The 23,439-nt window shown below is 43.0% G+C and overlaps 1 protein-coding gene across 4 annotated transcripts in view, besides 1 other annotated feature; it reads right to left on the bottom strand.

The window, feature by feature from the left end:
* Nucleotides 6,067–23,439, bottom strand: part of DNAL1 (dynein axonemal light chain 1) — a 58,747-nt gene continuing 41,374 nt past the window's right edge. For all 4 annotated transcript variants that reach the window (XM_024449715.2, NM_001201366.2, NM_031427.4 and 1 more), the window contains 3 exons: nucleotides 22,414–22,540; nucleotides 20,284–20,424; nucleotides 6,067–13,897 (listed from right to left, as the gene is read on the bottom strand). In XM_024449715.2, coding sequence (XP_024305483.1) covers nucleotides 13,857–13,897; nucleotides 20,284–20,424; nucleotides 22,414–22,540 — 309 coding nt within the window. In that variant the 3' untranslated portion in view covers nucleotides 6,067–13,856. The remainder of the gene's footprint in view (nucleotides 13,898–20,283; nucleotides 20,425–22,413; nucleotides 22,541–23,439) is intronic.
* Nucleotides 11,700–11,869: an enhancer, noted in NCBI's record as "experimental_36590 CRE fragment used in MPRA reporter constructs". NCBI's record gives its function as "activates a minimal promoter by MPRAs in K562 erythroleukemia cells, with activity observed for both the introgressed and non-introgressed 14:74164718 variant alleles {active_cell/tissue: K562}" and the evidence as "EXISTENCE:reporter gene assay evidence [ECO:0000049][PMID:34662402]".

The following is a 23,439-nucleotide window of genomic DNA, read 5'->3' as shown; positions in this document are numbered from 1 at the left end:
GGTTTGAAAGTACTCCAAAAATGCTGGGATTACAGGCGTAAGCCACCACAACTGGCCCACATACTACATTTTTAAAAATGGGCCCGTTGTAGTGGCTCACACCTGTAATCCCAGCACTTTGGGATGCTGAGGTGGGAGGATCACTTAAGGACAGGAGTTCAAGACCAGCCTGAGCAAAATACCAAGACCTTGTCTCCACAAAAATAAGTAAATTTAAAAATTAGCCAGGCTATTTAGGAGGCTGATGCAGGAGGATTGCTTGAGCCCAGGAGTTCAAGGTTGCAGTGATCTATGAACATGCCACCGCACTCCAACCTGGGGTGACGGAACAAGACCCTGTCTCGAAAAAAACAAAACAAAACAAAAAACCACGCACACAGATGCACCAAAAAAACAAACTAGGTATATAAGGATTATTCGGGGGGGGCGGGGGGGTTGTTTGTTTTGTTTTTTTGGTGTATGCTTGGGGTTTTTTTTTTTTTGGCCCAATATGTTATGGACATCCTTCTACAGTTTAAACATGGGGGGATAGACCTTCTTTTCATAGATGCAGAGTTGGCTGCATTCTTAGGAGGGAAGTTATTTTCATGCACGTCCGTGTGAAGAGAGCACCAAACAGGCTTTGTGTGAGTAACGTGGCTGTTTATTTCACCTGGGTGCAGGCGGGCTGAGTCCGAAAAGAGAGTCAGCAAAGGGTGGTGGATTATCATTAGTTCTTATAGATTTTGGGATAGGCGCTGAAGTTAAGAGCAATGTTTTGCGGGCAGGGGTGGATCTCACAAAGTACATTCTCAAGGGTGGGGAGAATTACAAATAACCTTCTTAAGGGTGGGGGAGATTACAAAGTACATTGATCAGTTAGGGTGGGGCAGGAACAAATCACAATGATGGAATGTCATCAGTTAAGGCTATTTTTATTTCTTTTGTGGATCTTCAGTTACTTCAGGCCATCTGGATGTATACGTGCAAGTCACAGGGGATGCGATGGCTTGGCTTGGGCTCAGAGGCCTGACATTCCTGCCTTCTTATAATAAGAAAAATAAAACAAAATAGTGTTGAAGTGTTGGGGCGGCGAAAATTTTTGGGGGGTGGAATGGAGAGAGAATGGGCGATGTTTCTCAGGGCTGCTTCAAGCGGGATTAGGGGCGGCGTGGGAACCTAGAGTGGGAGAGATTAAGCTGAAGGGAGGTCTTGTGGTAAGGGGTGATATTGTGGGGATGTTAGAAGAAACATTTGTCGTATAGAATGATTGGTGATGGACTGCATATGGTTTTGGATGAATTGAGAAACTAAATGGAATAAGAGAAGGAGAAAAACAGGTATAAAAGGTCTAAGAATTGGGAGGACCTAGGACATCTGATTAGAGAGTGCCTAAGGAGATTCAGCATAGTCCTGCCGGCAAAGATTATTTATTTACTTCAAGAGTTTAGAGTGGCAGTTTGGGGATAGCACCAGGAGATATCAGCTGTGATGGCTTGGAGAAACAGTATAAACCAGCAGTGTAAACAAGAGCAGGGCATGTATGAGTAGTTGAGAATGGTGAATAGGAGTATGACTAGACAAAAGATAGTAGGGATGACAAGTTTTTTTGGGGCACAGTCTAAGTTGGTCTGGTGTCGAATGGGACTGGGGCCTAATAAAAAGGAGCGTCTATACAGGAGCTTAAATGGGCTGTACCTTGTAGCATTCTGAGGACAGGCCTGAATTCTGAGAAACGAAAGTGGTGAAAGTATTGTCCAGTCCTTTTTAAGTTGGTGGCTGAGCTTGGTGAGGTGTGTTTTTAAAAGACCTTTAGTCCGTTCTCCTTTTCTTGAAGATGGAGGACCGTAAGGGATATAAAGGTTTCACTGAATACTAAGAGCCTGAAAAGCTGCTTGGCTGATTTGACTAGTAAAGGATGGTCTGTTATTAGACTGTATTGAGGTGGGAAGGCTAAACTGAGGAATTATGTCTGACAGAAGGGAAGAAATGACTGTGGTGGCCTTCTCAGACCCTGTAGGAAAGGCCTTTACTTATTCAGTGAAAGTGTCTATTTAGACTAAGAGGTATTTTAGTTTCCTGACTCGGGACATGTTGAGTAAAGCTAATTTGCCAGTCCTGGGTGGGGGCAAATCCTTGAGCTTGATGTGTAGGGAAGGGAGGGGGCCTGAATAATCCCTGAGGAGTAGTAGAATAGCAGATGGAACACTGAGAAGTTATTTCCTTGAGGATAGATTTCCACGATGGAAAGGAAATGAGAGGTTCTGAGAGGCGGGCTAGTGACTTGTACTATAGCATAGCCTGCCTTTGCTGGTGTGTGGCGATTAGGCCTGGTGGAACTGCCATCAATAAATCAAGCGTGATCAGGGTGAGGAATAGGAAAGAAGGAAATATGGGGAAATGGGGTGAATATCAGGTGGATCAGAGAGATACAGTCATGGGGGTCAGGTGTGGTATCAGGAATAATGTGGGAGGCCAGATTGAAGTCCGGGCCAGGAACAATGGTAATTGTGGGACTTAACAAAGAGTGAGTACAGCTGAAGGAGCTGGGGAGCAGAAAGTATATGCGTCAGGTATGAGGAAGAAAATAGATTTTGGAAGTTATGAGAAATGTAGAGAGTGAGTTGAGCATAGTTTGCGATTTTTAGGGCCTCTAACAGTATTAAAGCAGCGGCAGCCGCTGCACACAGACATGAGGGCTAGGCTAAAACAGTAAGGTCAAGTTGTTTGGACAGAAAGGCTACAGGGTGCAGTCCTGTCCTGGCTCTTGTGTAGGAATTCTGACTGCACTAACCATGCCTAGGAAGGAAAGGAGTTGTTATTTTGTAAGGGACTGAGGTTTGGGAGATTAATCAGACACGATCAGCAGGGAGAGCACGTGTATTTTTATGAGAATTATGCTGAGATAGGTAACAGATGAGGATGAAATTTGGGCTTGACTGAAGTAATGGGGGCTGTCTGTGAAGCCTTGCGGCAGTACAGCCGAGGTAATTTGCTGAGCCTAATGGGTGTCAGGGTCAGTCTAAGTGAAAGCAAAGAGAGGCTGGGATGAAGGGTGCAAAGGAATAGTAAAGAAAGCATGTTTGAGATCTAGAACAGAATAATGGGTAGTAGAGGGAGGTATCGAGTATGGGTTTGGCACCACCGGGTGGATAGGCAGAACAATTTGGTTGATAAGGCGCAGATTCTGAACTAACTTGTAAGGCTTGTCTGGTTTTAGGACAGGTAAAATGGGGGAATGGTAAGAAGAGTTCATAGGCTTTAAAAGGCCATGCTGTAGCAGGCGAGTGATAACAGGCTTTAATCCTTTTAAAGCGTGCTGTGGGATGGGATCTTGACATTGAGTGGGGTAAGGGTGATTAGGTTTTAATGAGACGGTAAGGGGTACATGATCGGTCACCAAGGAGGGAGTAGAGGTATCTTATACTTGTGGGTTAAGGTAGGGGGATACAAGAGGAGGACGCAAAGGAGGCTTTGGATTGGGAAGAAGGGCGGCAATGAGATGTGGCTGTAGTCCAGGAATAGTCAGGGAAGCAGATAATTTAGTTAAAGTGTCTCAGCCTAATAAGGGAACTGGGCAGGTGGGGATAACTAAAAAGGAGTGCTTAAAAGAGTATTGTCTAAGTTGGCACCAGAGTTGGGGAGTTTTAAGAGGTTTAGAAGCCTGGCCGTCAATACTTACAACAGTTATGGAGGCAAGGGAAACAGGCCTTTGAAAAGAAGGTAATGTGGAGTGGGTAGCCTCCGTATTGATTAAGAAGGGGACGCGCTTACTACCTTCTACCGTGAGAGTTACCTGAAGCTCGGCATCCGTGATGGTTTAGGGGGCTTCCGAGGCAATCGGGCAGTGTCAGTCTTCAGCTGCTAAGCCGAGAAGATCTGGGAAGGAGTCAGTCAGAGAGCCTTGGGCCAGAGTTCCAGGGGCTCTGGGAGTGGCTGCCAGGTGAGTTGAACAGTCGGATTTTCAGTGGGGTCCCACACAGATGGGACGCAGCTTAGGAGGAATCCCGGGCTGCGGGCATTCCTTGGCCCAGTGGCCAGATTTCCGGCACGTGTAGCAAGCTCCTGGGGGAGGAGGTTCTGGAGGAACCCCTGGCTGCTGTGGTTCAGGCGTTTGGACGTTCTTGTGTGCTGGAGATGTGGCTGGGGTTTGTCTCACAGTGGAGGCAAGGAATTGCAACTTTTTTCTGTTATTGTACACCTTGAAGGTGAGGTTAATTAAGTCCTGTTGTGGGGTTTGAGGGCCAGATTCCAATTTTTGGAGTTTTATTTAATGTCGGGAGCAGATTGGGTAGTAAAATGTATATTGAGAATAAGACGGCCTTTTGACCTTTTAGGGTCTAGGGCTGTAAAGCGTCTCAGGGTTGCTGCCAAACGAGCCATGAACTGGGCTGGGTTTTTATATTTGATGAAAAAGAGCCTAAATGCTTCTGATTTGGGATAAAGAAAAAGGAGCATTAACCTTGACTATGCCTTTAGCTTCAGCCACCTTTTTAAGAGTAAATTGCTGGGCAGGTGGGGGAGGGCTAGTCACGGAACGAAACTGTAAGCTGGACCAGGTGTGAGGAGGCGAGGTGATAAAAGGATTATAGGGTGGAGGAGCAGAGGCTGAGGAAGAATTGGGACCTAGCTCGGCCTGGCGAGGAGCAGCCTGGGGAGGAGGGGAAAGGTCAGATGGGTCTGTAGAAAAGGAAGATTAGAAAGACTCAGCGACGCTTGGGGTTGGGACTGAGGGGACAGGCGGAAGGGAAAGAAGGAAGATTTGGGACGAGTTGCATTGGGGACAAAGACTAGGAAGGGACTGATGTGTAAAAGAATGCCTGGACGTCAGGCAACTCAGACCGTTTGCCTATTTTACGACAAGAATTATTTAGATCTTGCAGGATGGAAAAATTCAAAGTGCCGTTTTCTGGCTATTTGGAGCTACTGTCGAGTTTGTATTGGGGTCAAGCGGCATTGCAGAAGAAAATAAGGCATTTAGGTTTTAGGTCAGGTGTGAGTTGAAGAGGTTTTAAGTTCTTGAGAACACAGGCTAAGGGAGAAGAAGGAGGAATGGAGGGTGGAAGGTTGCCCATAGTGAAGGAGGCAAACCTAGAGAAAAGAGAATGTAGAGACATGGAGGGAAGGGTTTCGGGGGTTCTTACCCTCCAGAAAAGCGGGAAGGGGGGTCAGGGCACGGAAATAAGGGATTGGGGCACAGAGATAAGAGGTTGGGGTGCAGAAATAAGGGATTGGGGCACAGAGTTGAGAGGTCGGGGTGCAGAAATAAGGGATTGGGGCACAGAGATAAGAGGTCAGGGTGCAGAAATAAGGAATTGGGGCACAGAGATAAGAGGTCGGGGTGTGGAAATAAGGAATTGGGGGTTCTTGCCCCCTAGAAAAGCGGGACTTGCCGCTAAGGGTGAAGAAGGGGTTGAGGGGTACTTGCCCCTCCCCCAGAAAGGCAGAGAAGGGGTAGAGACACGGAGAGAAGGGGTAGAGACACGGAGAGAAGGGGTTGGGGTACTTGCCCCTTCCCCAGAAAAGCAGAGAAGGGATAGAGACAAGGAGAGAAGGGGTTGGGGTACTTGCCCCTTCCCCAGAAAAGCGGGACTTGCCGCTAAGGGTGAAGGACCAAGGCAGGCGTCCCTGTGTGGTCTGACACCCTTGAAACGTGGGTGAATAATCAGAGAGGCATCCTTGCAATGATTAAACACCAAGGGAAGGCTGCCTTCCCAGTCCGTGACCGGCGCCGGAGTTTTGGGTCCACGGATAAAACGTGTCCCCTTTGTCTCTACCAGAAAATGAAAGGAATTGAAATTAAGAGAAGGGAGAGATTGAAATGTGGTGCCAAGATTGAAAGGAGAAAGAGGTTGAGGGATAGTGAGGGAGGTTGCAGAAGAGAGTAAAAAGAGGCTGCTTACCGGATTTCAAATTGGTGAGATGTTTCTTGGGCTGGTCAGTCTGAGGACCTGAGGTCGTAGGTGGATCTTTCTCACAGAGCAAAGAGCAGGAGGACGGGGGATTGATCTCCCAAGGGAGGTCCCCCGATCCGAGTCACGGCACCAAATTTCATGCACGTCCGTGTGAAGAGACCACCAAACAGGCTTTGTGTGAGTAACATGGCTGTTTATTTCACCTGGGTGCAGGCGGGCTGAGTCCGAAAAGAGAGTCAGCAAAGGGTGGTGGATTATCATCAGTTCTTATAGGTTTTGGGATAGGCGCTGAAGTTAAGAGCAATGTTTTGCAGACAGTGGGTGGAGCTCACAAAGTACATTCTCAAGGGTGGGGAGAATTAAAAAGAACCTTCTTAAGGGTGGGGGAGATTACAAAGTACATTGATCAGTTAGGGTGGGGCAGGAACAAATCACAATGGTGGAATGTCATCAGTTAAGGCTATTTTTACTTCTTTTGTGGATCTTCAGTTACTTCAGGCCATCTGGATGTATACGTGCAAGTCACAGGGGATGCGATGGCTTAGCTTGGGCTCAGAGGTCTGACAGTTATCACCTAAGATTCTGACTTTTAATTATATATAACAATTGTATGTATCTACATGCGTATATATATATTCAATGCAATACATATATATGACATAAATCAATGTGAGGATCCTAAATGTCCATCCTTTGTTCTAGGAAACAATGAACTAAAAATAACAATGGGATATTTATGATCTGAATTAAGGCTTTCTTTGTATAAACTCAGAAATTGAAATTTGTCTTCTATTTGTTTTTCCTTTTTTTAGGGACAGGGTCTTGCAGTGACATGATCATAGCTCACTGTAACCTCAAACTTCTGGGTTCAAGCAATCCTGCCTCAGCCTCCCCAGTAGCTAGGACCACAGGCGGCATTGCCATGCCCAACTAATTTTTTTTTTCTTTTTTTTTTTTTGTAGAGATGGGGTCTCACGATGTTGCCTAGGCTGGTCTCAAACTCCTGCCTTGGCCTCCCAAAGCACTGGGATTACAGGCATGAGCCAGCACACCTGGCAATTTGTCTGCTGTTTAGTGGAGGACAGCAGCAAGAAATGTATCCTCATAATCAAACAACTGGAATAAGAAGTAGAAACTACACTACAGCCCTATTTTGTGACCAAAATTACGTTTTAGCTGATAGCATAGAAAATGTGCTGGCAAAATGTGTAATGTTACGGATATTGCTTGGTGATTCCTTTTTCTCAATTCAGGGCCTATCAGCTAACTTTTACCTTGCGTACCTTCTGGTAATCAGGTGAGGACTAGGAATGGTCAAGTGCAGTAGTAACTTGCTGTCCCTGGAAGCACTCTTTCCAGAAGCCTAATAATTTGAAATAGTGCCCAAAGAACTGGGGAAGAGTTACAAGCCTGGGAGAAAAAAACCTACTAAGAAAAAAAAACTTAGCTAAAGAAATGAATGCCTCTGGCCGTGCGCGGTGGCTCGTGCCTGTAATCCTAGCTCTTTGGGAGGCTGTGGCGGGCAGATCACGAGGTCAAGAGTTCGAGACCAACCTGGCCAGCATGGTGAAACTTCGTCTCTACTAAAAATACAAAAATTAGCCAAGCATGGTGGTGTGCGCCTGTAGTCCCAGTACTCGGGAGGCTGAGGCAGGAGACTCGCTTGAACACGGGAGGTGGAGGTTGCAGTAAGCCGAGATTGTGCCAGTGCACTCCAGCCTGGGCAACAGAGTGAGACTCCGTCTCAAAAAAAACAAAACAAAAAACACCTCTCTCTTTCACTCTCTCTCATGCACGTGCACACACACACACACACACACACACACCACACAAACTGCATGGTACATGTTATCCAAAGGCTGAATTTCTTTGGACTGAATATCACTAGAAGTTTATATAATTGCTCTATATTAGCTAAAACTAATAATCATGTACCAAAAATATACTTTTTTTTTTTTTTACAAAATAACACAATTTATTACCATTTTGAAACAAATCACAAAATAACATTCAGAAACTCAACATTTCTAAATAACTTAATTCACAATAAGTTTAGTCATAAAGTCATGCTACAAAACTCCTGTGTATAAAAGATTATTACCAAGGTATTCATAGATGTTAAAATGTTCTTCAGAATGGAGTTGGTTCTAGAAGCCAAAGATTCTGGAATGATGCTCGTAATCATGACTGCCAGCCTGGGAGAGGAGCTGGCTATGCGCATGTGCTCTTAGCTTCCAACTCACCAGTCTTTTGATGGGAGTGATCCCTCCAGGCAGTAGCACCTCAGAGGCAGGTACCCTACTGATCACAGAGGCAAAGAGCCTCCCACCCATATAATGTTAGACAACTCTACATTCATTTAAAATCTAGAGGTGGGAATGATAATTCGCAAAGCTTCTATTCTGAGTAGGAGAACTACTTGACACATCCCCCAGAGGGATGATCTTGGATGTAACAGACATGGAAGACGACTCAAGTAGGGAAAAAGGGAAATCCTGACTCTGATTATGTCAAAAGACAGTTAACTACTCATGTGGGTTTAGAACGAGCAAGGGTGAGGTTTGATTCTCTAACATCCAAGTGCAGGCTAGATATTTACCCATCTGCCCTATGGAAGTCCTTTCCACCAACATCCAGTTCCTAAGTTTAAAGTGCAAATCTACTGAAAAATAGTTTACTATCCCTCTTCCCCTATGTTAAATTTGCTAGATCATAATTTGGTTGGCTGGGTCTCCTCTAAACTGCCCAATATGGGAAATTAACTAGAATCCAGTTAATGACTTCTCCAAATATCAAGTAAAAAGTTTTATCAGTTTATCTTAGGTCAGAGAAAGGTAAGACTCAGTCTAGTTCTTCCTTTCAGTTTTCTTCCTTTACAGATTTATAAAATGCAGGAATAGAGATACAGATATGGTATTTCTAAAAGTTCCATGATTTTAAAACATGACCCTTGATTTTTGGAAGTTCACCCATTTTATGGTTTACAAAAAGAAAACAATATGACACATGTTAGAGCACAGATAAAGAAATATGGTCAAGTTAGCTTGTCAGAAGAAGCACCAACTCTGCTACACTGAATCTTGCTTTTATATTTCATGATTTACAGACACATTAAACAGCCCCAAATAAATAAAATCTGTGCCAAAGGAATGAATTTCTAGTAAAGGGTAACATGCAATTTAGCAGTTTTCTTCCTTTACCAACACTTACAGAGTATAAGGTCTTAGTGAATTGATGGTCTGACTGTAGTCAGAGAGACATAATCTATTCATGACTGATGCTTTGACACTTCCTCCTAATGCTTTTAAGTGAATGATTAACTCCAACCTTTCTGGGCCCTGTGCTTTTCCATTTAGCCCTGAGAAAAACCCAGGTAGAAGATTCCAACTCTCTTTACACATCACCAATTCTCAGAATAAGTCAACAGTCAAGATTCATTTCTTATTCTTCCTTATTCTGCTTCAGACCACTGGTAAAAGGTGTCAAAAGAAGTGTTTATTCAAGTTCAAATTCCTCTTTCCACAAAAGAACCACATTTTTTTTTTTCTTTTTGAGACGGAGACTTACTCTGTCACCCAGGCTGGAGTACAGTCACACTATTTCGGCTCACTGAAGCCTCTGCCTCCCGGGTTCAAGCAATTCTCCTGCCTCAGCCTCCCGAGTAGCTGGGATTACAGGCATGCGCCACCACGCCCGGCTATCTTTTTATATTTTTGGTAGACATGGGGTTTCACCACGTTGGCCAGGCTGGCCTCGAACTCCTGACCTCAAGTGATCTGCCCACCACGGCCTCCCAAAGTGCTGGGATTACAGGCATGAGCCACAGTGCCCAATCAGGAAACACATTTAAGTGCCTTATACTACCATATGTGGAATGAATCCAGTAGCCATACCAAGTTATTGACCAGTTATCTTAAGCAGACATTCTTCTGATCACATCCAAAATTGATGTCTACATCAGCTAACTTTCCTACAAGATTATCAAATTTTACACAGTATTTTTCTGTATTTAATGACTGCCATGGTCTGCAAAATTATGTGATTAGACAATGAATGACGCTTAAAGAATGATGACCTATTTTCTAAAGTACACTCAAAATATTAAACTTTAGAGACAAAGCAAAATCTATCATAAAGTTGGCTTCTGTTGATAGAAACAGAGAGGTAGGTTAATAATCACTGTCCTAAGATAAGCAAGAATGCTTAGAAATAAAAGTTGAGACCCTGCTTCAAAAAAGAGAAGTTGAACCTTCCAGCCCTGAGTTTCTAATATTACATGAAAATTATGAAAATGAGCATTAAGCCAGTCGCAGTGGCTCACGTCTGTAATCCCAGCACTTTGGGAGGCTGAGGCAGGCGGATCACGAGGTCAGGAGTTTGAGACCAGCCTGGCCAATATGGTGAAACGCCGTCTGTACTAAAAATACAAAAATTAGCCAGGCATGGTGGCGCGTGCCTGTAGTCCCAGCTACTTGGGAGGCGGAGGCAGAAGAATTGCTTGAACCCGGGAGACGGAGGTTGCAGTGAGCTGAGATTGCGCCACTGCACTCCAGCCTAGGTAACAGAGCGAGACTCTGTCTCAAAAAAAAAAAAAAATGAGCATTACAAAAAATACCAGTGACCATTTCTTTCCATCCATGATTACTGAATACATCACCTTCTCTCATATAACAATTCAAGTGGCACATGGCTACAGACTGAAAATAAATGGACCCTGGACACAAGTGATGTTGGTATAAAAAGTACAACTAAGGGAGAATTTGTTCCCACCCTCCTACCCAAGGGACAGATGGCAATGTCTGGAGATATCTTTGTTGTCATGGCTGAGGAGGGGGTCTACTGGAATCTAGTGGGTAGAGGCCAGGGCTGCAGCTGAACATCCTAAGCACACAGGACAGCCCCCAACAACAATGAATTATCAATCCCAAAATGTTAATAGTTCCAAGGTTGATCCTCTGGTTTAAAGGAACAAATTCTTATTAACAGAGAACAACACAAAAACCTTTTAAGGCCTGTCTAGGTAATACAGCCCTAATCTTAGAGTTAGGGAACATAGAAAAGTTAAACTCCTTGGTAGACTAAAATCAAATTTGCTGTGAAAAACTAAAATACTGGACTGATTCCAGAGTTTTACCATCACTTACAAGAATAGAAGAAATTTGGCCAGGCACGGTGGCTCATGCCTGTAATCCCAGCACTTTGGGAGGCCGATGTGGGCAGGTCATCTGAAGTTAGGAGTTCAAGACAAGCCTGGCCAACATGGTGAAACCCCATCTCTACTAAAAATACAAAAATAGGCCAGGCATGATGGCACGTGCCTGTGGTCCCAGCTACTCGGGAGTGAGACTCTGTTTAAAACAAACAAACAAACAAACAAAAAAAAACAGAATAGAAAAAATTTAAATGATCCACTAAAATGGCGTAATGTCTTAAACCGGAAGCACAGAGATAATCTATTCCACATAGGTCAAATATCTGATCCAAGAGGCATAAACCAAAGGCAGTTTTATCAGCTAAATTTGCAGCAGTAAAGGATAATTTAGGGAATGATTTGAGAGAATATCCTACATTTCTTCATACATCCCAACTGCCATTTTCTAATGGCATGGGTTCCATGAACAGGGATGCATAGAAGTCATTCAAAGATTTGTTGAATGATACTGAATATGAATTTTGCATGAAATGGACAGAGAAAAGTATCTTACATTTGTCTGAGAACTACCTGTAATTAAAAGTCATTGAGAAACAAGGAGAAAGAGAACCAGTTTCTATATTACAGAATTCAGAAAAAACAAACACCAAAACTCTAAGCCATTTTACAAATAAATTCAATATGAAATCACTTACTTCCTATTATATTCACTTCCAGGGTTACTTTTAGAAAACATATCCATATCAACATGGCTTCAAGCTTGCCTACTGAAGGAAGTGCAAACTTTAAGAAGATCATCTTCCCTCTCAGTTTATGGAACTTAAAACATCACCAAGGAGAATGAAGGCTCATTGCCTATGGTTCATAAAAGAAATGTCCAAAGGCTTTGAATGCATAAACCAGCTAGAGTAGAATAAGGTTTCTTCCTATCAGATTGAAAAGAAGAGAGAAAAGAAAACTAAAAGGGTGTTAGACCAAGTTTTCCTCTTTTTTTTTTTTTTTTTTTTTTAAATATGGAGTCTCGCTCTATTGCCCAGGCTGGAGTGCAATGGCGCAATCTCGGCTCACTGCAACCTCCGCCTCCCGGGTTCAAATGATTCTCCTGCCTCAGCCTCCCGAGTAGTTGGGACTACAGGCGCCCACCACCAGGACTGGCTAATTTTTGTATTTTTAGTAGAGACGGGGTTTCACCATGTTGGTCAGGCTGGTCTTGAACTCCTGATCTCAGATGATCCGCCCGCCTCGGCCTCCCAAAGTGCTGGGATGACAGGCATGAGCCACCACGCCTGGCCTCTTGTTTGTATTTAGAGTTGATTGTCAAAGCAGTGGTCCCTTTTGATCAGAGTAACTTAGAAAAATCAAGTAATTCCTATGTAAATGATAGCTGAAATCTTCTGAAACCCAGGACTACTTATGCAATCACTTTTTAAAGATGATTCTTCCCTCTTTCACTGTGATTTTATGCAAGTAAAATCACACAAGTAGATGGGGAAACCAGAATCAACAGTCTCTGAGGGACTTTAGGCACAATTTGGCAGAGGGCCCCTGACTTCTTTTCTGCAATCTAATAGTGATCCAGCCATGGCCTCCTATGACCTCATCTGCTTACTGACTACAATGTCTTACATTTTCCTGAAGGATTTTTTGTTTACATGATAAATTCTAACCTCTGCATCTAACTATTGCTTTGCAATTTTGAGGTTAAATCACCTACACTGCTTTATGTAGGAGACAATCCTCAAACATATTGCCATTTGCCTGGGATCTCATAATGAAACATCTCCCTTCCCTCCACAACCACGTACATAATACATTTTAAGAGCTGTTTAACTTAGAACTTCTCAAAAAATATATTTTGAAATACTAAGTTTCATTATACCCTTACTTATAACCATGGTAGTCACTTTTCCCAACAATGAGGGTCACCAGACCAAATAATTAGGGTAAATTTTGACATACATCAATGGCCAGCATTTAGTCTAGGAATTCAAATATAACTAATGCTTTAAACACATAAGGAACTATAAAACCAAAATGTGTGCTTAAGGCGAGGTCCACATGAGTAACATTGCCACATTATCAGTCAAAGAAATGATCATGACAGTCATTTTAACCACTAACTGAGATCACAGAATGACTGTACACAATGACTCAAGTGGCCATGCATATAAAAACAACCTAAATTCCAGTTGACAATGTGCACATTTTTGGAAAAACAAATAAGTATAATATAGACTAGAAGGTCTCTGAGATACTACTTTTTCCTTTTTTCACCATATCTTTTCCAATGGAACTTTGGAGTCTTGGTTCCGGACCTGCTGTATTTCTAAGAGGAACTCTTCCCATCACCATGCTGCCTTCTGAGCTAAAGGCATGTGCTTCTGAATTGTACAGAGACAGACCTTCAGGAAAAATGTTCTGAATTTTCAAATGTACATCTTTTAAAATGTCTAACCTAAAAAAAATGAACAAACTGAAAAAAACATTTGTTCCTTTGTTATTAAAAATGACTGGTCTACAAAGGTTTTGTTTTAGTAGATGGGGCTACACAGTACGTAACTGAGACTGAAGACAAAAATCGAAAATTTGTGGTTTCTAAAAAGAGAAATAGGATATATAAGGTTGGCATTACCAGTTTTGGGGAGAAACACTGAATAAGTTAAAGGAAAAAAAAAGATGAGAATGAGTGATCTGTTTTATCTTAAGAAACTTTTGTCCCATACAGAATCTTTAAAATAGACAATTATATAAAATTTATCTATTGTTCTTATGACATTTAAATAAGTTAACACACAGTGGAAAGCGTGGCATTAGTTGTCTTCTTCCTCATCCCCTTTAATTACTGGAGTACCTAAAATGAAAAAGAAAATTATTACTGGTTATTCTCAAAAAATTGCTAAAATTCTAGATGAAAATATTTTCCTGGCCGGGCACGGTGGCTCACGCCTGTAATCCCAGCACTTTGGGAGGCTGAGGCGGGTGGATCACCTGAGGTCAGGAGTTCAAGACCATCCTGGCCAACATGGTGAAACCCCGTCTCTATAAAAATACAAAAATTAGCTGGGCATGGTGGCGGGCGGTTGTAATCCCAGTTACTTGGGAGGCTGAGGCAGGAGAATCGCTTGAACCCGGGAGGCAGAGGTTGCAGTGAGCCAAGATTATACCATTGCACTCCAGCCTGGGTGACAAGAGCAAAACTCCATCTCAGAAAAAAGAAAAACCTGAGAAGCTCTGAGATACTATGAAGTGTGCCGTAATAAAAATAATTTCACAAAATAATCTCTTTAATTTCAAATTATCTGAAAAGCTTCTCAGGGGAATTCTCAAATGGTTTAGTATACATACTTGTGAATATTAAGCCCCCTAACTGCCAAATCGCAAATAAAAATGCCTATGGCCAGGCATGGTGGCTCACTGCCTCTAATTCCAGCACTTTGGGAGGCCAGATGAGAGAAGCGCTTAAGCCTAGGAGTTGGAGACCAGCCTGGGCAACATAGCAAGACCCCATCTCTACAAAAAATAAAAAAAATTAGCCAGGCATGGTGGTGTGAGCCTGTAGTCTTCAACTACTTTGGAGGCTGAGGTGGGAGGATCACTTGAGCCTGGGATGTCCAGGCTATGGTGAGCTGTAATTATGCCACTGCACTCCAGCCTGGGTGGCAGAGTAAGACCCTGTCTCAAAAAAAAAAAAAAAAAAAAAAAAAGCCAACAAGTACCAAGTAGAAAAATAAAGTAAGTTCTGTACATGTTAAAAGCTTTCTATGGGCCGGGCGCGGTGGCTCACGCCTGTAATCCCACCACTTTGGGAGGCCGAGGCGGGTGGATCACTTGAAGTCAGGGGTTCGAGACCAGCCTGGCGAACATGGTGAAACCCCATCTCTACTAAAAATACAAAATTGGCTGGCTGTTGTGGCGCATGCCTGTAATCCCATCTACTCAGAAGGCTGAGGCAGGAGAATCGCTTGAACCCGGGAGGCGGAGGTTGCAGTGAACCAAGATCATGCCATTGCACTCCAGCCTGGGCGACAGAGCAAGACTCCATCTCAAAAAAAAAAAAAAAGTTTTCTATGTTAAGCATAAAGAAATATTCCTCATTTCCCACAATAAAATGTGTAATCACAGTACTGCCAAAAATCTGAACTCCTCTAATTGTCATTTTATATGACCTCCCCCAATTGCTGAACATTGGGGATACACTGAAAAAAAAATCACTGTAGAGGAAACAAAGCACATCTCTGGCTCTCACTGGGCCAACGGCCACCCATCTGAGCTTTAGCATTTGAAGCCAGTCTGACCCCAGCTGAGTATTCAGTCTTAACTCTTCAGCCATTTACCCTGCACTCCAGCTAACCTGATCAGTTCATCGTCTCCCAAACTCATCTTGCACACTTTTACCTCTGGCCTACTGGTTAACAAAGTTCCTTCATTTTTCTTTCCCTTTTCTCTTCTCTTCTCTGAAGACTTTATTTATTTATTTATTTATTTATTTATTTATTTATTTATTTATTTATTTATAGACAGGGCTTGCTATGTTGCCCAGGCTGGACTTGAACTCCTGGGCTCAAAGGATCTTCATGCCTCAGCCTCCCAAGTAGCTGGATCTACAGGTGCATGCCACCGTGCCCAGCTTAAAGTTCCTTCATTTTGTAATGTCCTCAACTCTCCTCCCATCTAAATCCTACCCTTTATGAAGAACAAACCCCAGTACCTCTCTTCCTCAGTGATGCCTTCCAAGAGGGACATGTTCTTTACGGCAGTGAGCATAGTTTGACCTCTCTGTACACTCCTGAGCATTTGTTTGTGGGACAAGTGAACTTTTTGTTGACGCGCAACATACAAAGTGTACAAATTATAACGTACAGATTGATAAATGTTCATAAAGTGAACACAAACTAGTTACCGGCACCCAGATTTAAGAAAGATTATCAGAACCCCCAAAACTGCCTCAGGCCCCCTGCCAGTCACTATACCCACAAAAGATATATTCTATCCTAATATCTAACACCATAGCTTATTTTCCTTGTTTTTTGTTTGTCTTTTTAAAGACAAGGTCTTGCTCTATTACCCAGGCTGGAGTGCAGGGGTGTGATCACAGCTCATTACAGCCTCAAACTCCCAGACTCAAGCAATCTTCCTGCCTCAGCCTCCCAAATAGGACCACAGGAATGATATAGTATGTACCCTGTGTCTGGCTTCTTTTATTCAACACTATGTTTGTATGATTCATCCATGTTGTGTAAAATTTTAATTCATTCATTTTTACTGCTGTTTAATATTCCATTGTATGACTATGCCATATTTTATCTATGTATTCTATTGTTCATGAACATTTAAGTAGTTTATAATTTTTAGCTATTAATATACTGCTACTATGAACATCCTCATACGTGTCTTTTGGTAAACATTCACACCCTTTTCTTTGGGGTATGTAGTTAGGAGGGAAATTGCTGGGTCACAAGGAATGTATGTGTAGAGTTTTGTAGATAACGCCAATTTCCCAAAGTGGTTATACCAAGTTACATTACCATCCTACAGGGTATAAGAGTTGCTTCACATCCTCACTAGCATTTGGTATTGTCCGTCTTTTTTATTTTAGATTTTTAACATCCCTCAGCTTTAGGCTGGGCGCGGTGGCTCACACCTGTAATTCCAGCACTTAGGGAGGCTGAGGTGGGTGGATCACGAGGTCAGGAGTTGAAGACCAGCCTTGCCAAGATGATAAGACCCCATCTCTACTAAAAATACAAAAATTAGCCAGGCGTGGTGGCGGACGCCTGTAATCCCAGCTCTTCAGGAGGCTGAGGCAGAGAATTGCTCGAATCTGGGAGGTGGAGGCTGCAGCGAGCTGAGATCGCGCCACTGCACTCCAGCCTGGGTGACAGCGTGAGACTCCGATTCAAAAAAAAAAAAAAGATCCCTCAGTTTTGCTTATGAGCAACAGAAGAGAAACAAAAATGGGCAAGTTTGCAGCTGTGGCCATCTCTGTTCTGGTCTATCCCACTGGTTTAGAATAGACTAAGGTGTTCTTCTAGGGGCTGTTCAGATTGACATGAAGTCAATACATGGTCCAAAAGGCCATAATGTAGCTTTGTCTATTCAAGTTCTACATTGGTGGTTCTATTTTATTCTTTTTTTTTTTTTTCTCGGCTCACTGCAACCTCCGCCTCCTGGGTTCAAGCGATTCTCCTGCCCCAGCCTCCCGAATAGCTGGGATTACAGGCATGTGCCACCATGCCTGGCTAATTTTATATTTTTAGTAGAGACGGGGTTTCTCCATGTTGGTCAGGCTGGTCTCGAACTGCCTGTGCAGTGGCACAATCTCAGCTCACTGCAACCTCTGCCTCCCGGGTTCAAGTGATTCTCCTGCCTCAGTCTCCCAAGTAGCTGGGATTATAGGCGCCTGCCACCACACGCAGCTAATTTTTGTATTTTTAGTAGAGACAGGGTTTCACCAGGTGGGCCAGGCTGGTCTCAAACTCCTGACCTCAGGTGATCCACCCACCTCGGCCTCCCAAAGTGCTGGGATTACACACATGAGCCACTACACCCGGCCTCTATTTTATTCTTAAGGGAAGAGGTTCGCTTTCTACGTACAACCCTGAAGGAAGTAAAGACAAATGATTTGAAATCAGGAGGCTGAGGCAGGAGAACCACTTGAACTTGGGAGGCGGAGCTTGCAGTGAGTTGAGATGGTGCCACTGCACTCTAGCCTGGGTGACAGAGCAAGGCTCTGTCTCAAAAAAAAAAAAAAAAAAAGTCTGGGCACAGTGGCTCACCGCCTATAATCCCAGCACTTTAGGAGGCCAAGGCGGGCGGATCACGAGGTCAAGAGGTCAAAACCATCCTGGCCAACATGGTGAAACCCCATCTCTACTAAAAATACAAAAATTAGCTGGGGGGGGGGGGTGGCGCACGCCTGTAGTTCCAGCTACTTGGGAGGCTGAGGCAGGAGAATCGCTTGAACCCGGGAGGCGGAGGTTGCAGTGAGCCAAGATTGCGCCATTGTATTCCAGCCTGGGCAACAGAGCCAGACTCTAAAAAAAAGAATGACAGACTGAATTTCTTAACAGCCCAGCTGAATTGAATTGGGGAGGTAGTGTTCAAAGTCAAAATGAGGTCGATTTATATTGAAATATTTCTTATACACTTGCATTTTGGGATTGAGTTAAAATCTAAAATAATTATAACTCTTTATTTTGTTTCTGAGACAGAGTCTCACTCTGTTGCCCAGGCTGGAGTGCAGTGGCATCATCTTGGCTCACTGCAACCACCGCCTCCCAGGTTCAAGCAATTCTCCTGCCTTAGCCTCCTGAGTAACTGAGATTACAGGCACCCACCACCAGGTCCAGCTAATTTTGTATTTTTACTAGAGACAGGATTTCACCATGTTGGCCAGGCTGGTCTCGAACTCCTGACCTCAAGTGATCCTCCCACCTCGGCCTCCCAAAGTGCTAGGATTACAGGTGTGAGCCACCACACCCAGCTAATAACATATATTTTGAATACTTACTTTATGTTAAGCACAACGTTTAGCGTAGATTATCTCTATGTGTTCATTGTTTCACATAGATTATTTTATTTAATCCTCATAATAATACTCTGATATATGTTCTGAAATGATTACTAATGATACTATTATCATCTCCAGTTTTTAGATTACCAATGAACAAGGTTTGGTGAGATTAATTAATTAGCACAATTTCACAAACTATTAAGTGGAGGAGCTGGGACTTGACTCAGTTAATTAGGGTTATCTACTGATGCTGACACTGATCTTAAGATATTGGGAAACTAAGACTGGGGATGAGGGGAGAAACAGAGAGAATACCACAATTTTGATCCAATTGTAAAAAAGCAACTGCTTACCATGTATTTCTAATTATTCTGCAGAATCAGAATAATTTTTGATTCTGATCAAAATTTGTGACCTTTGTGTTACCTTTCTGACTTGAGAATAAGCCTAACTTTCTTTATTTTTTAAACTTGCTTAAATGAGCTAGAAGTTTATTTTTCTTTTACATAAAAGTACAAGTAGATAGTAGATAGACATGGAACTTTATGTTGTCTGGAAGTCAGGATCCTTCTCTTTTTTTTTTTTTTGAGACGGAGTTTCGCTCTTGTTGCCTAGGCTGGAGTGTAGTGGCACAATCATGGCTCACCACAACCTCCGCCTCCCGGATTCAAGCGATTCTCCTGCCTCAGCCTCCCGAGTAGATGGGGTTACAGGCATGCACCACCACATCCGGCTAATTTTGTATTTTTAGTAGAGATGGGGTTTCTCCATGTTGGTCAGGCTGGTCTCGAACTCCCAACCTCAGGTGATCTGCCCGCCTTGGCCTCCCCAAGTGCTAGGATTACAGGCATGAGCCACCGCACCTGGCCAGGCTCCTTCTCTCTTACTGCTTGCATGGGTGTCCTCCTTGTGATACAGGGAAGAGTGAGAAAAGGAGGAGGCTCAGCACCAAACCCTGAATAATTCCAGCTTTAATCCAACATAGCAGAAGGAAATTTATATCAGGAAAAAATAAATATACAATTTTTTAAAAATAAATACAGGGTTTTTCTCACTATATTGCAAAGGCTGGTCTCAAACTCCTGACCTCAAGCAATCTTCTTGCCTCATTGAATAGCTTGACTACAGAAACGTGCCACTGTGACTGGCTCCATGTAGATTTATAAGGCCTAGCTTTCTTTTCTTTTCTTTTTTTTTTTTTTGAGACGGAATTTCACTCTTTTTTGCCCAGGCTGGAGTGCAATGGCACAATCTCAGCTCACTGCAACCTCCGCCTGCCGAGTTCAAGTGATTCTCCTGCCTCAGCCTCCCGAGTAGCTGGGATTACAGGTGCCCGCCACCACGCCTGGCTAATTTTTATATTTTTAGTAGAGATGGGGTTTCACCATGTTGGCCAGGCTGGTCTCAGACTCCTGACCTTCGGTGATCCACCCGCCTCAGCCTCCCAAAGTGCTAGGATTACAGGCGTGAGCCACCCATGCCCGGCCAGGCCTAGCTTTCTTATAAGCTTTTGGTCTAGGGAGAATCTTGTACCAGTCTAAATATCCTAGCAGTTTTTCATCTCACCTTGGCTCAAACCTAGACCATTCAATTTTACATAGATAGAAATGACCTGGAAGATCAGAGGTATTTTTTCTTTAGTTTTTCTCCTCTTCATGATTCCATGCCACAAATTCCATTTTTATGCCTAGAAGATATGTCTAAGCCAGCTCAGAATCACTCACCATCCAGCTTTTTCAGTTTGGGCACTCTCTTGGTTGCTTCTTCAATCCAGTTATTCTCAGCAGAATGTTTCTCTTCCAAGGGATTGCCTACAAACACCAGGTCTTCGAGGCATGGCAGTTCTGCCAGCTTCACAAACTCAGCTACAAGTAAAAGAATATTTTCCATATTAAAACACTAAGTTTTGGCCGGGTGCGGTGGTCCACGCCTGTAATCCCAGAACTTTGGGGGGACAAGGCGGGCGGATCACGACATCAGGAGATCGAGACCATCCTGGCTAACACAGTGAAACCCCATCTCTACTAAAAATACAAAAATAAGCCAGGCATAGTGGTGGGCACCTGTAGTCCCAGCTACTCAGGAGGCTGAGGCAGGAGAACTGCTTGAACCCGGGAGACGGAGGTTGCAGTGAGCAGAGATTGCACCAATGCACTCCAGACTGAGCGACAGAGCACGACTCTGTCTCAAAAAAAAAAAAAAAAAAAAAAAAACAGCAAGTTTTACTGTTACAATTTTGGGGATTAAATTCCAATATCATTAACCCTCAGTTTGTGACTATTCATGACAATCAGTTGTTTAAGATTTTGAAGGAAGCTAGGAAAGTTATACCATATAAAGTCATTCTCAGAAGACAGTACAGGATGGGAGGGAAAAAGAAGACATACCTCTCTACTTTAAATGCTAGCATAAGGATGAAATAAGACGAGATGAGATTCAAAGTCAAAAAGAACAAATCACTCTCCAGTGACAGGTCTTCTTCATGCTGTGCTGCATCAGTGTAGGTTAAGCTAACCTGCCTTTGTCTGTACCCATTCCCTCATCTTTGAATTCTTAAAACAACACATTCAAATCTGTATTGCAGAACTTATCACACAGTTTTGCTTTTTTTTGTTTTGAGAAAGAGTCTCCTTCTGTCACCCAGGCTGGAGTGCAATGGCTTCATCTCCACTCGCTGCAACCTCTGTCTCCTGGGTTAAAGCAACTCTCATGCCTCAGCCTCCCAAGTAGCTTGGACTACAGGCATGTACCACCACACCTGGCTATGTTTTTGTATTTTTGTATTTTTACAAAAAAAAATTTGGGTTTTGCTATGTTGGCCAGGCTAGTCTCAAACTCCTGACCTCAGGTGATCTGCCCGCCTTGGCCTCCCTAATTGTTGGGATTACCAGCAAGAGCCACTGCACCTGGCCTCTTATCACACAGTTTTATAATTATCAGCTTACAAACTAATTTTCCCCACTAAGCTGTGAACTTCTTGAGGGCAGGGATAATGTCCTATTCAACTATGTATCCAAAGAGACTGGTATAGTTCATCGCATATAACTGAATGAATTATATACAATAAAAAAGCAAAGTAACATAGATATCAAATAAGTCTTCTACCTTTGAAGTATTAAATTTAAACTGATTACTTCAGCCTTTGGATAATAGCTTAAATTTTTTTCATGATTAATAGGACCAGGACCTATCAGATTACGTTCATCCTAATTTTTTTTTTCAAGTTCTTTCACTTTTTTATTTTTTATTTTTATTATACTTTAAGTTTTAGGGCATATGTGTACAACGTGCAGGTTTGTTACGTATGTATACATGTGCCATGTTGGTATGCTGTGCCCATTAAGTCGTCATTTAACGTTAGGTATTTGAGACGGAGTCTTGCTCTGCTGCCCTGGCTGGAGTGCAGCGGCGCGATCTCGGCTCACTGCAAGCTCCGCCTCCCGGGTTCACGCCATTTTCCTGCCTCAGCCTCCCGAGTAGCTGGGACTACAGGCGCCCGCCACGACGCCCGGCTAATTTTTTTGTATTTTTAGTAGAGACGGGGTTTCACCGTGTTAGCCAGGATGGTCTCGATCTCCTGACCTCGTGATCCACCCGCCTCGGCCTCCCAAAGTTCTGGGATTACAGGCGTGAGCCACCGCGCCCGGTCCATCCTAAGTAAATATTTAAATATAAATGTTAAGCATTTAAAATTTAGAAACTCCTATTGCTGTTTCTCTCTGAGCTTAGCCATAAATGTTTCCACTTTCTCTCTGTGCTTAGAAATAAACGTTCTCGTTTTGCATCTTTTCCCTCTCGGACTATTTTCTATAAACAGGCGGTAGAAGGTTAGCAAAGGGCCACTCTCAGCTTACCCCAGTCTTTTACCAGGTTATTAGACATGTAGAGAATCTTCAATTTCTTCATTATGTGGATCCCTTTCAACTTCTCAATAAAATTGTAGGAGATCCACAGTTCTTCTAATGTGTCCCCTACTGCCTCCTGAAAAAGAACAAAATTTGATTTATGTTTATGTTTAAGCTTTTCTTTCTGTCTTCTTCTTTATAAAGATATACATAATGGCTTCCAAAGTGAACTTAGACCCTGCCTGTCTACTTGTAGAAGAGCTAGTAGTTGTGTGGGAGGTTTTTTTTTTCTCATTGAGGGAGCTAAGTAGAACATTCCATTCCCTTCTTCAAACTAATCTGAACTCTTCCTTCTCTGACTGCTCCACTAAAAAAAAAAAAAAATCACAAAACATAATACGTTACTAATACTGAAATCACCAAGAGGGGAAATAATGGCACTATCTTATCTCGTTCATTAATGGTACGGTTTTCAAATTACATTCCTATAGAGTATATTATTTGGTCCTTAGAACATCTGCTTTAAAGCCGATAAGGCAGGTTATTTGATTTCTATTACAGAGGGATTAAGGGCTTTTTCTAAGAACACACTATTAAATAATAGAGCTAGGTCTAAAATTCAGGGTCTTCTCCAACATTTATTATGATGATTTTCAAACATAAAAAAGTTGTTTTTTGTTTTGTTTTGAGACAGGGTCTCACTCTGTCACCCAGACTGGGGTGCAGTGTCACACTCACAGCTAACTGCAGCCTCAACCTCCCCCGGGCTCAAGCAATCCTCTCACCTCAGCCTCCCTAGTAGCTGGGACTACAGGTGCACACTACCACATCTGGCTAATTTTTGTCTTTTTGGTAGAGATGGGTTTTGTAGAGATGTTGTCCAGGCTGGTCTTGAACTCCTGGACTCAAGGGATCTGCCCGCCTCGGCCTCCCAAAGTGCTGGATTAAGGCATGAGCCACTGTGCCCAGCCAATAATACAATTTCCTGTAAGTATTTGTTAAGTAGATAATAAAGACAAGATTTTTGTGAAGCAG

The sequence above is a fragment of the Homo sapiens genome, chromosome 14 (genome assembly GCF_000001405.40).
Source record: "Homo sapiens chromosome 14, GRCh38.p14 Primary Assembly".
NCBI lineage: Eukaryota > Metazoa > Chordata > Mammalia > Primates > Hominidae > Homo > Homo sapiens.
This window is presented reverse-complemented; position numbering and strand designations above follow the sequence as displayed.